This window comes from Homo sapiens, chromosome 2, assembly GCF_000001405.40.
Source record: "Homo sapiens chromosome 2, GRCh38.p14 Primary Assembly".
Classification (NCBI taxonomy): Eukaryota; Metazoa; Chordata; class Mammalia; order Primates; family Hominidae; genus Homo; species Homo sapiens.
The window spans coordinates 153,114,142-153,127,936 of record NC_000002.12 but is presented as its reverse complement, the minus strand read 5'-3'; the positions used below and the strand labels follow the sequence as shown (position 1 = coordinate 153,127,936).

General features: G+C 36.9%; 1 protein-coding gene across 2 annotated transcripts in view; it reads right to left on the bottom strand.

Moving 5' to 3' along the window:
• The window catches only part of GALNT13 (polypeptide N-acetylgalactosaminyltransferase 13), a 1,388,282-nt gene that overhangs the window by 1,328,638 nt on the left and 45,849 nt on the right, over nt 1-13,795 (bottom strand). The window contains exon 3 of one of the 2 annotated variants that reach the window (NM_001422882.1): nt 3,289-3,486. The exons of the other annotated variant lie outside the window; for it this stretch is intronic. The gene's annotated coding sequence lies outside the window, so the exon portion shown is untranslated. The remainder of the gene's footprint in view (nt 1-3,288; nt 3,487-13,795) is intronic. 2 annotated transcript variants of the gene reach the window in all.

The window sequence follows — 13,795 nt, the reverse complement described above, 5'->3', positions numbered from 1 at the left end:
TGAACACAGTATGGCATTTGCACATAGTAAATACTCAGCAAATGTTATTATTCAAGTGGTCAAAGGAACTTTAAGGTGCTCATCAGTTGTTTGATTAGGTGGAAATATCTTAGACTACATTCAAAAATTATCTGTTATACAAAACTACCAAAGCCTAGGGAAAAGTTTGCCATAATATAAAGAGCATAGATCAAGAAGTGGCAAAGTTAAGCACAGCAAGCTCAGAATAAAATAATGATGCAAAAATAGTCCACAAAAGATACCTCAGGGCTGTATTGTGAATCCAGGAGTCAAACATAACTAGAAGATGATAAAAATTGAAAGTAAAAAGATGAATCAAAAAGACTGATAAAACTGGTGTTTGGATATCACTAAGATTACGGTTCCCCAGGTTCCTCGGAAGAGTAACAGGTAATGGTATCAAGATGTCCATGAATGTTTGCATGTGGTGGGAGGGAGAAGTGCGGAGGGGAAGAATGTTGATGAAATGAATTACAACAGAAAAACTGTAGTCATCTTCTTCTGTGACTTCCATTTTATATAGGGATTTGCACTCATCTGAGGTACATGGATATGAGAGGCCACATGACTTGCAAAACATTTGATTTAAAAAAAATCTGATGCCCAAATGCCTCGAATTTCTCAGCTCAGTATGCTGAAGGGTGAAATCAATTACTAAGGTTCAGGAACTCTAGTAAGCCTAATGATGATTTTAGAGTGCAAAATAAACTCATAGGATTATTGATTTATAATGTATTGCATTACCAGCAAAGACAAAAAAAAATGCACTCAATACTCCATTGTCCATGCCAACGCAATCAAACACTAACACAGATAATTCAAAGATTTTTTTGTAGCTTGTATTTTCTTCAAAGATTAGATTGCATATCCTTTTAATTTCTGGTTCATTTCTTGGCCCCTAGGATATTCTGTACCTTCTCTCAGCCGCCTTAGCACTCCTCACATCTGCCCTGAAAGCCTTAGGTCAGCCAGCCAGCCAACGAAAAATTATGGGGCCTATCCTATGGACTGGCTCAGGGCAGTGGCATAGGCACAGCTTTAACTCAGCTGCAAAAGAACTCTGATAAAATATTCAGAGATGTGCCACTCTGAATGAAGATGAGATTAGCCATGAGAATTCTAAATGGAAAAAGTGAATTTCCATTCCTCCTTCTTTAGTATTTCTAAATAAGTCATTTTCAAACTTCAAGAGGTTCTAAATGCTAAATTCCAGAAAACAAGTCTCTAGAGGGCCTGACAAATAAATCCTGGTTTCTTTACAAGATTGGCCGTACTTTTGCAAGGTAAATACAGTTTTCAATGAAACAGTATCCAAAATCTAGAGGCAGTGTGGCATAGTGGAAAGACGTGGGCTTAGAGTCAGAAAATATGTTGAAATCAGGCTGGGCCACACTCTATCACTGTGACCTTAGGCACATTATTTTTTCTTTAAGCCTATTTTTAGGGTTGTTTTGGAGATTTGTGGAGGTAGGTGAAAACATTTTGTTAGAAGTAGAGCATTGTTTATTCGTTCTTTATTATTAAATACAAGAAAATTATTTTAACATCTGTGGATTTTCCTTAATATCATATATATATATATATATATATATATATATATATATATATATATATATATACAAAATCAATACTGTGAGCTTAGCCTAGCATTTGATTACAAAAATAGTACAAATACAATTCTTCATCATAAAAAAATAGATTCCTAACATTTAGTTGAGTTCCAAGTTACTGTCCATGCCTTACTTGGCTATTTTTCCCTCAAGAGAACAAAATTATTAAAGATTTATTGGTGGAATATCAGGAAAATAACAATCAGGAAAATAACAATCAGTTTTATTTAATCCATAAATTTAAAGCATTTATAGGTCTTTTGATGCACTGGAATAAATGAACTAGAATGACCAAAGGCCCAAAATCTGAGTTGCATTCATTCGAACTTCATAATCACCGGACGCTTTTAATTTTTTCTTTTTTCTCCACCAGTCTCTATGTTATCATCACACTTGTTATCCTCAAATGACTATACTCTACATAAACCCATTGTCAACAAGAACAGATTATGTAAATTATCTATGTAAATGTACTTAAACAATTAAAGATATTCTAAGTTCAATAATGCCAGCAAAGAAACACTAATTCTAATTAGACAGCAATCACACATAGGCTTAAAGTCTCTTAGTACACGTTAGCAGAGGGCTTCTTAATGCTTACTGCGTACTTTTATGTATTTCACATAATTACATTAATGCTTATAGATCTGCATATGTTAAATATATAAATATAAAAGCTCCTTTAAATTGATTCAATTTTCTTCCCACAAATTGCCCCTTTTCATAATATGCCTGCATACTTAAAATCACTATATTAATGCAGTCAAGTCAGAAACTAAGAACATTTAGTCCTGCGCACTATTATAGGAACATCAGGGTCCACAGCTGCCTTCCATTAACGCTCTCAGACTGGACTGTCATTTGCAGAATCAGACCCATTGATTGTATAAAAGACATCGCTTTTGTCCTTTAATGACCCATGAGCTCCTTTCAAAATCAGTTCAGTAATGGTTACTACATTAAAACTTCAAACATGCACAACCACAAGATGAGTTTCTAAAGCAACACTTTCATCAGCATCACAGTGTCATGTGGGAGGAAGAATACTGGCCTGGAAACCAGACACCTGGCTGCTAATGCAGATTCTGTTACTAATTGGTTGCCTGACCTTGGGCATAAGGTTGCCATATAAAATACAGGACACCAGTTAAATTCAAATTTCAAATCAATATCAAATTATGTTTTAGGGTAAGTATGTCCCAAATATTACATGGTATATACTTATATTTTTTAATGATTCATTGATTATCTGAAATTCAAATCTAATTGGTAATCCTGTATTTTTATTTGCTAAATCTGGCAATCTTACTTGGGCAAGCTATTAATACAACGATAGCTTCATCATTTGAGAAGTACAGGGGTTGGACAGAATGACCTCTAACTGAGACACCATGAAACTATTGGGTTCATAGATTAAGCAAGGAGCAAAACTTGCCGTATTTGTTTGCCCTAGTTATTAAGCAGAGATTCATGAAAATTACACACATTTAAAACAAAGCAAGCTGGCTGGGCATGGTGGCTCACACCTGTAATCCCAGCACTTTGGGAGGCCGAGGTGGGCAGATCACGAGGTCAAGAGATTGAGACCATCTGGCCAACATGGTGAAACCTGTGTCTACCAAAAATACAAAAACTAGCTGGGCATGGTGGCAGGCACCTGTAGTCCCAGCTACTGAGGAGGCTGAGGCAGGCGAATCGCTTGAACCCAGGAGGTGGAGGTTGCAGTGAGCTGAGATTGCGCCACTGCACTCCAGCCTGGTGACAGAGCAAGACTCTGTCTCCAAACAAACAAACAAACAAACAAAACAAAGCGAGCTAACCTGTTTGCTTCATGATGAAGATGGATATAGTATCTCTGTAAATTTCCAAACTTGGAGAAAAAGCTCAAGCATTTTAATAGCTTTTATATTTGCTATCTATTGCTGCATAATAAATTACCTCAAAACTTAGTGGCTTAAAACAACATTTATTATATCACAGTTTCTGTGAGTTAGAAATCCACACACAGCTCGAGTTCTCTGGCTCAGGATCTCATAAGAATACAGTGAAGATTTTGACTAAGGCTACAGTTATTATTTCAAAGGTCAAATGGACAACTCGATTCTAAACTTAACACATTACACTAAATCCTAACAGGGTTTAGTACCTTGCAGGTTGTTGGACTGAGGGCCTCAGTTTCTGGCTGGCTGCTGGCTACCCTCAGTTCCTTGCTATGTGGACCTCTCTATAAAGCAGCTCACAACACGGCAGCTTGATTTATCAGAGCAAGCAAGAAGGGCCAGAGAGTGAGTGAACAAGATAGAACTCACAGTCTTTTATAACCTCATCTTAGCATTGATATGTCATTATGTTTCCCATATGCTATTTCTCAGAAGCAAGTCCAGTCTCAGATTGTCCAGCCCACAATCTAGGGAAGAGGTTATACAAAATGTGAATATCAGGAGGTGAGAATCATTAAGAACAATTTTAGACACTGCTTACTACACTTTGAACAATCTTTTTCTGGAAAAAATACTGAACAGCTATTCTAAGTGTAATTTATCAATTAATATGAAGGCTCTGTATTTGGCCCTTAAAAATTAATGGCTAACATTAAAGGCATTAGGCTTCGGATGAAATGAAATTTAGTCATTATTATCATTATATCCTATGTAGTTAGCTTGCTTCCAAAGATCTCTGATAGATCTGCTTTTTTGCCATAAGAAGCATGCAGATAGAGATTTGGTTTATTCCTGTCTCAAAAGTTGGAGTCACAACTCAGGTGTGCTGAAATGTAACTTTATTGATTCAAACTTTCCATGTTTATTACTTCTTATTTCATTGATGTTCTAACACCCTTAATCTTGTCCTTTACTTGTTTCTGGGTCTAAACTACTATTTTAGGTTAGTAAACCATCAACTCTGGATTTAAATTTAGTCAAATTTAAGGTCTTGGGTGTGTGTCAGGTTTCTGGTGCTGCCCTACTAGAAGTACCACAAGCCAAGTGGCTCTTTTGGAGGCTAGGAGTTTAAAGTTAAGGTGTCAATAGGTCGGCAATCTCTTGAGGGCTCTAGGGGAAAAATCCTTTCTTGCCTCTTCCTAGCATCTAGTGGTTGCCAGCAATCCTTGGTGTTTCCTAGCTTGCAGATGCATCTCTCCTGTCTCTGCCTCTGTCTTTGTATGGCATTCATCCCTGTGTCTTCTGTATCTTCATATGGCATTCATCCCTGTGTCTTCTGTATCTTCGTATGGCATTGATCCCTGTGTCTTCTGTATCTTCACATGGGATTCTCCCCTGGGTCTTCTGTATCTTCACATGGCATTCTCCTCTGTGTCTCCTTTGTACCTCCAGTTCCCTCATCTTAGAAGAACACCAGTCATTAGACTAGGGCCCACTCTAATCTAGTATAACCTTATTTTAACTCAATTACATCTGCAATGAACCTATTTCCAAATAAGTCACATTCACAGCTATGGGGTTAGGACTTAATATATTTTTGGGGGGAGGGGGTATAATTAAACACACAACAGGGTGCTTGGTAAAGATGCAGATTCCAGCCCCATAAGAACCTTTCATCCCCTGGAAACTGATATTTACAAGTCTTGGAAGGGATAAGGTATCTGCTGGTTGGACCAGCTCTGCAGGCGTGCTCTATGAAAGTGGCGCCCAGACCACAATTTGGCAAGCTCTGCTCAAGCCAACCAGCTATCCTTGTCCACTAACCACAAGCCTCCAGAGCTTTGTCTTCTGCATCCTCTTAATCAGAAAATGTAGGTGAGGGACAAAATGTAGGTGTGGCAAAGTGAATGGAACATTAAGGTTAGCACATCAAAGGATGTAAATCTGAACACTGGCTCCACATTAGCTGTATGACTGTAAATCGACTCTGAACCTCCATTTCTTCAACTGCCTCACTGAGTTTTTCTTAGAATTAACATTTGTAAAAGTATCTAGCCAGGTCAAAATACTACATTTTGGGGGATAAAAAATAGCAACAAAAATTTGTTCATGCCATTTAGTCCAATAATTCTTCTTCATCATTTGTTCATTTAACATAATGTTCATTTAACATAACACCATATAGCAGACATTGCACTTGGTACAAGGGGTGCTACAGTAAACAATAGGTAAAGTTTATACCTCATTCTAGAGGAACTATAATTTAAGAAATCTAAAATTATTTTTAATCAAAACTATTCATGCCAACATTAACTAAATAAGTGAAATAACAAATATCTAGCAATAGAGAAATTATTCATCTACTGAGTGAAACACTATACACACATGACAAGACTGTGTGGTAATCTGAAAAATGCTTATAATGTGAAATAAAAGGTATGGTACAAAACTGTATGCATACCATAATTACAAACATAAAAATAGAAATATATGTATAGAAGAATCAAATAAAACTGACCAAAATAAGATAGTGGTTAAGATAATGTGATACCATTATAAGGGACTTTTTTTACTCCTCTGTTTTCAGTGTCGTAAAAAATGCAGTAGCTCATGCCTGTAATCCCAGCACTTTGGGAGGTTTAGTCAGGTGGATCACCTGAGGTCAGGAGTTCCAGACCATCCTGGCCAACATGGTGAAACCCTGTCTCTACTAAAAATACAAAATACAAAATAGACAGGCATGGTCGTGGGTGCCTGTAGTCCCAGCTACTTGGGAGGCTGAGGCAGACTTGCGTGAACCCAGGCAGCGGAGGTTGCAGTGAGCCAAGATCATGCCATTGTACTCCAGCCTGGGCAACAGAGTGAGACTCCGCCTCAAAAATAAATAAATAAAATAAAATGTGGTTATATTACATTGAGAGATGAAAAACATCTGTACCAGCTCATTAACAGTAGTTAATTGAGGAGAATGGGATTAATAGGGACTTCTACTTTCTGTTTTATATATTCAAGTATTACTGTAAATTTGAAATCAGAAAAAAATAGAGTGTAAGTTAACAGTAATCACTGAACGAAAGCATTTCATTTCTTCATCTATTTTAGATTTCTAAAACTAATTTCCACAGGAGGAATGGACTGCTTTTGAAATTAGAAAAAAATGTGTTTTTAAATTATTTGTAAATTAATTGGTTACAGTGCCTGGCAAACAATCTACAAATGTCAGGGGGATTTGGTGGTCTTCAGCTTTGGAAAGTCTATCTTGCAGCACACAGCTCAAATGAAACTCTTCTAATGCTAGATGCACTGGGCTTGAATCCAAGAATGCCATCATGTTTTTCTCTTCTACCCCAGTATCCTCCTGATGAGGCCCAGTATTTTGGTGGTCTTTCTAACTGGAGCAGCACTTTAACAATAGACACTAAGATTATAACTATAGGATCACACTGAAATGCTCCAAATGCCTCAGATTCATTTTCCTAATCATAACTAATACTTTGGAGCAGATCACGCAATAACTAGAGTTTGAATTATTTTTCCTAGATACATCACGTTTGGCTTCACTCTCGTTAACAGAAAGCTTTCTCTCTGGCCCCTCCAGCTGTGAGCCTGGCAAAAAGAAGGAGGGGTTCTACTCCCAACTTTCTGACCAACAAGGACCCTCTCACTCCTCCTCTGGCTCTAACTCCAAGCTTCTAAAATGTTTACTTACAAAATTGCTTGTACTAAATAACAAATAATTTATCTTTATATTAAAGATAAAAACTAATTTCCAGATAGAGCTTTAGACACACATGAGGCAGTAAAATTCCAACTAAAAGGAAGTATATTTGATCATAGTTATCTTGGACAATTATTTTTATAGATAAATGCTTATTTCCATTAGGAATCCAACAATATTAAAAGTAGCTGCTGCATTCCCATTACTTTGTCCTCAAATGCCTGAGGGTCATAAGTAGAAAAAAACTGGCCTAAAGACAAATCACAGTCAAGATCCTATGGTCCACTCAAGGAGAAACTTAAAAGATCCAAATAATTTTTTCTTTATAGTTGTGACCACTTCAACCCTTGGTAGATAATAGTCAATTCTCATTTCTAAATTTTGCATATTTGAGGGGAAGACTTATTTTCCTTCATACTGAAAAGAATCTACCACGTGAAGAGTTGGGTGGGGTCCTTGTGTGTGTTGAGGTAGTTGTTTTGTCTTTTTGGTTAAAGTAGAATTGAAACAGTAAACTGGAAAGATTACCAGAGGCCCAGAGCAGAACTTTGAGGTGAGTTTACAATCAATGACTATAAAAAGTATTCCCCAAGTTACTATAACTTTCTTCTTAATATATTAACACACTCAAAACTTTGTTTATTCAACATTTTGCAACCAAGGTAATAATTATAAACATCACTGTCTTAGTTGAGTTCTCCCAGAAGGAAATCCTGAGAGAAGCATTCCAAGAAAAATAGCTTATTTATGATAGATAGTGGATATGTAGGGCATATAAAGGCAATATTTTAAAGTATAGGAAAACATGATGTAGGGAAGGGAAGCCAGAAAACGTAGAACACGTGTTAAGATATCTACCACAGTTCACAACTGAAGCTTAAACTCTCAGAGAAACTCTGGAAATTATACAAAACTCACATCTCAGAATAATCTCATTCAAGGAGCAAGACAGCTAGGGTATTCTCTGAAGGGTCAGGCAAGGCTGCTCCCAAAGGGTACTAATGCCTTGGCTCTTCTAACCTGGCATGCGCATAGGCAACATGGCTTGTCACAGTTTCAGAAAACTCAAAGAACCTTACAAACAAGTGCAAAGCCTGTCAGCAGGAGTCAGCTGAAACACATTAAGATGTATAAAATACATATCTGGGGCACTAACAGTGCCATTTTTATCTTATTTTATGTATAACTTATTTAACACTATATATTGCGGTCATGGTGGACAAATTTTGTTTCCTACTCTCCAATATAAGCTAGAAACTACTTTTCAATAAATAAATCTCCAGTGATTTAATTTTATTGTAATGGCCCCTTCTTTCCCCTAAAGGCAAGAATTTTAGAAAAACTGATTAATTTAGGGTTCTAGTATTGGGCTACACTGAGAAGTGGTAAGGTATAGTTGTTAATAAGCCCTGTGTCTAAAGCCAAACTGCATGGGTTTAATAAAGAGCTCAGATGCTTCCTAGCTGTGCACTTATGTATTAGTTCATTCTCATGCTGCTCATAAAGACATACCCAAGACTGGGTCATTTATAAAGGAAAGAGGTTTAATTGACTCACAATTCAGCATGACTGGAGAGACCTCAGGAAACTTACAATCATGGCAGAAGGGGAAGCAAACATGTTCTTCTTCACATGGTGGCAGCAAGCAGAAGTGCAAAGCGAAGAGTAGGGAAAGTCCCTTATAAAACTATAAGACTTCATGAGAACTCATTCACTATCATGAGAACAACATAGAGGTAACCACTCCCATGATTCAATTGCCTCCCACCAGGTTCCTCCCACAACACATGGGGATTATGGGAACTACAGTTCAAGATGAGATTTGGGTGGGGACACAGTCAAACCATACCAACCTCAAAGTTATTTAACCTCTCTGTACTTCAATGTCTTCTCACCTATAATATGAAGATAATAATTTTATCTATTTGATAGCACTATGGTAAAATTTACATGAGTTAATATAAATAACCTAGAATAATGCATGGCTCCTAGAATAATGCATGGCTCATAATGAACTATAAAGGTATTAGCTATTATCAATATTTCTTCATTTTTTAATTCAACAATTATTTATTGAGCCTTTATGCCAGAGGCTCTCCTTGACCCTACAGCTACACAGATCAGTAAGATATGTGGCAGACCTCTAGTATCCACAGCCTAGTAAAAAAAAGGCTAATAATAATAGTGGGTGGACCACTTATAACTAATTAGATAATTGTACCCCAATGTGGGAAGATCCAAAAGAGCACAGAACAGGCAGCAACCACCTGCTTGTATGAAGCCAGTCAAGTTTGCCCTTGCAGTTGGTGTTAGAGGGAAAGTAGGTACTGTGAGACAGAAAGGGGTGATGGTTGCCCTGGGAAGGAAGGACAGCCTGTCTGAGGAAGAGGACTTGTGAACTAGCACAGTGCATTGCAAGAAATTAAGGGCAATTGAAATTTCAGGTGTTGTGTTTGAAGAAGTTTTAGGTTGCAACTAGGGAGAAAATGCCTTTGTGCACCAGGTAAAGACTATTGACTTTTCTTTTGTAAAGAAGGAAGCCAGAGGTAGGTTTATGTGGGGTGTGTGTGTGTGTGTGTGTGTGTGTGTGTGTGTGTGTTGGTACATAGTGACATTATAGATTTGTTTCTTAGAAAGAGAATTCAGTTATCAATGTGAAGGATTGACTGGAATCAAGAAAACCAAAAACCTGCTATGACCACAGTTCAAGGAAAAGATAATAGATAATAAGGCAAACCAAGGCAGAGGCATTAGGGACTAAGAACAATGACAGTTCTAGGAAACTTTTGGAGTTCGTGACAAATTAGGCACGGCAGAGGGACTGCTTAAGAAAGAAAATGATTTCCAGCTCTTCGGACTTAACTGGCCATGACAATAACAAGCATAAGGAATACAGAAGACAACCAAGTTAGTGGAAGGGAGGAGGAAGACCATGATGACTTTAGATAAAAACAGGGTAAGTGAAGTGTGAGGTGTCTACAGGAAATTCAAGCAAAAGTGCCTATTTGAGTATCTTTGGATTTAGGAGACATCAACATGTAAGTATGTGAGTAAATGAACTCACCTAGAAGTTATACTCTATTTTGAATAAAATTAGATGACACCATGCTACCTCAACTGCACCAAAATAAATACAAGATGGGTGTATCCATCAAGTTGAATAACAACTCCCATTCCCACTTTTTCCATGAGTAAGTTTTATATGGAAATAACCACATAACCATATAACCATAACATTTTCTCTTTCATGTTTCTAATAAAGCTTGGTGGCCATTCCACTTTATGAGGATCCACATACCCACTCTATATTTGACAGGAAAAGTCAAATCTGGACTATATAAGCCTTGATAACTACGAAGTTATTCAGAAGTTAATCTGTCAATGACCACTTGACTGCCCATACTGATTTCAGAGAGTGGTTTGTTAAGAAAGTTTGCTTTCTCCTTTCTTACCTTATAAGTACGTATCCCAACATTTTACTGTTAATGAAGACTTTCGTAGATCAAAGAGGCCTGTGTTTCAAGCAAAGATTGTACCTTTAACTGTGCTCCTCTGCTAGAACTTTAAAATAATGAGGCTGGTTTTTCTTAAAAAGAAGACAACACACCCAGCCAGGCATGGTGGCTCACACCTGTAATCCCAGCACTTTGGGAGGCCTAGGCGGGTGGATCACGAGGTCAGGAGATCGAGACCATCCTGGCTAACATGGTGAAACCCCATCTCTACTAAAAATACAAAATATTAGCCGGGCGTGGTGGCGGGCGCCTGTAGTCCCAGCTACTTGGGAGGCTGAGGCAGGAGAATGGTGTGAACCCAGGAGGCAGAGCTTGCAGTGAGCCAAGATCGCGCCCCTGCACTCCAGCCTGGGGGACAGAGTGAGACTCCATCTCAAAAAAAAAAAAAAAAAAAAAAAGAAGACAACACACCTATCTCTGTTTGCATCCTCAATGTTGTGGTCATTTTTATGAGGCTGTACACTTTTTTCCCAATGATACTGCCATCTTTCCAAACATTAGAATTCCTTGAGAATAATCAAAGCCTGGCATTCCTATTTTAATGTACTAAATGACAGCAAATTCTAATCACTTAAAGCTAGATTTGATTTTTTTATGCTCTAAATATCATTTGCAGCCAACTGTGACACATAATGTAAGTGATTAAGGTATATAAGTAAGTTCAAGAGTGAAGCATAATCATAAAATAATTGTGATGGTTTTCTTCTATTTTCCTATTTCTATATGAAAATCCCAAACACGAAGTCTGAACATGACTGGATAATTGGAATAAATGACCAATTTGAAGTAAATATATATTCAGTGTTCTAGTCAGTTCATTAAATATACATTATATGTTCCAGTCCGTTCATTAAAAGAAAAAAATCAGTCTCATTTACTTTGTTATAAAGTCTCCATATTTCACTAGTGTTTCATATTTTTAATAAGAACATTTAACAAAACATGCCAAATAAGTTAATTTTACACAAATTTTAATAGATGCTGAAGCTTTAAATATATATATACACTCACCATTAGTCCTTTGTACAATAATTAAGGATATCAAGAAAACCCAATTTAGATTGGCTTATTACTAATTTAAATCTCCTTGTCCTTTATATATAATGTAACATTCTGGTATTTTTTAGTTTATCCCCTAAAACCACACTTTTAATTTAACCATACATCAATGTTTTAGACAACACAGCTGAAATGTTAATGAATAAGTCTAAAAAAATACCACTGGCCAATTTTTCATTAAAAATAAAATACTCCTTGGAAAAGTGTCACACAAATTGATCATGACTGAATGCTGCTCCCTTAAGGCAGAGCAATGACCTAAGTTTAATTGGTTCACAGAAAAGGAGTCTTATTAGACAAATGTGACAGTAACCTTTAGCTGAATGTCATCTTTAGATTTTTTTACCAACTACTTTATAAATGCATAAGACCAATGTTCAATTATATTAATAATTATATACAAAATAGGCAATTAAATGACTTATTTTATTTTTCAGTACCTACTGTGTGCCAGGACCAATGCTAGGTAGTAAAAACACAGCAGAAAACAGATAGACACAGACACAATCCTTACCCTCAGAGCTCTTAGAACACATCATGAATGACTTCTGATTCTATATATATTTTCCATACTCCCTTGTGCGCTAAAGGAAATACCGACAATGATCAAATGTCACATACATCTTATTTTGATGAGAGCTTTGAGTATGATTACCAAAATCAAGTGAAAACATGAGAAAAAGCTTTACTGGTCTTCACATAATAAAACCATGCACTGGTTTGATGACAACACTTTCTAATGTGTCTTAACACAGTTCTTCTGAATGGCATTGTTTTATTGCACTTGGGATCATAAACATATGTTCTCAATCTTGTATTTCCCCATTACTTTTGCTGACTTACCCAGTGCTTCCTGGATAACTTGGATATGGAAAATTTCCAAGTTCATTTGGAATATGGAGCAGACAAAATGAAAAGAGTGATGACCCAGGAATATCCAAACATATGAGGACCACCACTTCACTTTTTATAGGGTTTGAAAAGCTATTTGGAGAGGCCAAGCCTTTACCTGGACAGTCATGATTATCTTCCTTTATTTTTTAGTACTCATTATGAAGAAAGCATTCTGCTTAGCACCTGCATACATTATTTCATTTAGCTATCACAAGAAGCCCATGAGGTAGGTATTATTGCCCCTATCTTACAAAGAAACTAAGGCTCAGAGAGATGAAGTAATTTGCCCAAAGTCACATGGTTTGTATTTGTCTGAAATTCCATTTAAACTCAGGCCTATCCAACTCTAAAGTCCAATGTTTAACTACTATGCTATACTGTTCTATAATGGAGGGGGATTGGAAAGAGAAAAAAGAAAAACAAGTGTTAGTAGTGATTACTGTTGAAATTCATTGGTAAACTCAGTTTTTGCCACTTTGTTTAAGCTCATTGACAAATCAATGATAGCAATAAAAGAGTAGAAAAAAAGAATTATCTATCTTTGCTACATCTTTCCACCGCCAGGTAGGTTTTGGGTTCCCATTAGCCTGTCATTTCAACTGTTATCTCCTTCCTACACTGAGTTGTCAAAAGCAATCTTAATATCAAAACTTCACTGGTGTCAGCTCTCAGATGTGTTCACATTTTTCTACACACTGAAATCCAAAGCTTATTAACTCTCTTTGAAGTAGACTTCAAATCAATTAAGGATGAGCAGGATAACTTAAATTATTTTAGTCAATAGTTTCTACTCCTAACTCTTCAACCTTTTCATCAGACTGCTGACAACAAATAGAATTGACTGACGTCTTCTCTAGCGAAAGCATATAGCCACAGTGCAAGAGCCAGGGTCAGGGGAGTGAAACCATGGGGTTGGTTGTTCAACATGATAGAAAGAGAGCAGCCTCAGGGAGAGAAAAAGCTAAGAAGTCACAGCTCCAGAGAGGAGCTGACCAACTAAACTTACGTTCAAGCGAGATCATGGGACTATAATCTATTTTGAGCACATCCTGGCATTTATGGTGAGGCAGGTCAAGCATCATCTCCAAGTTTGGATTG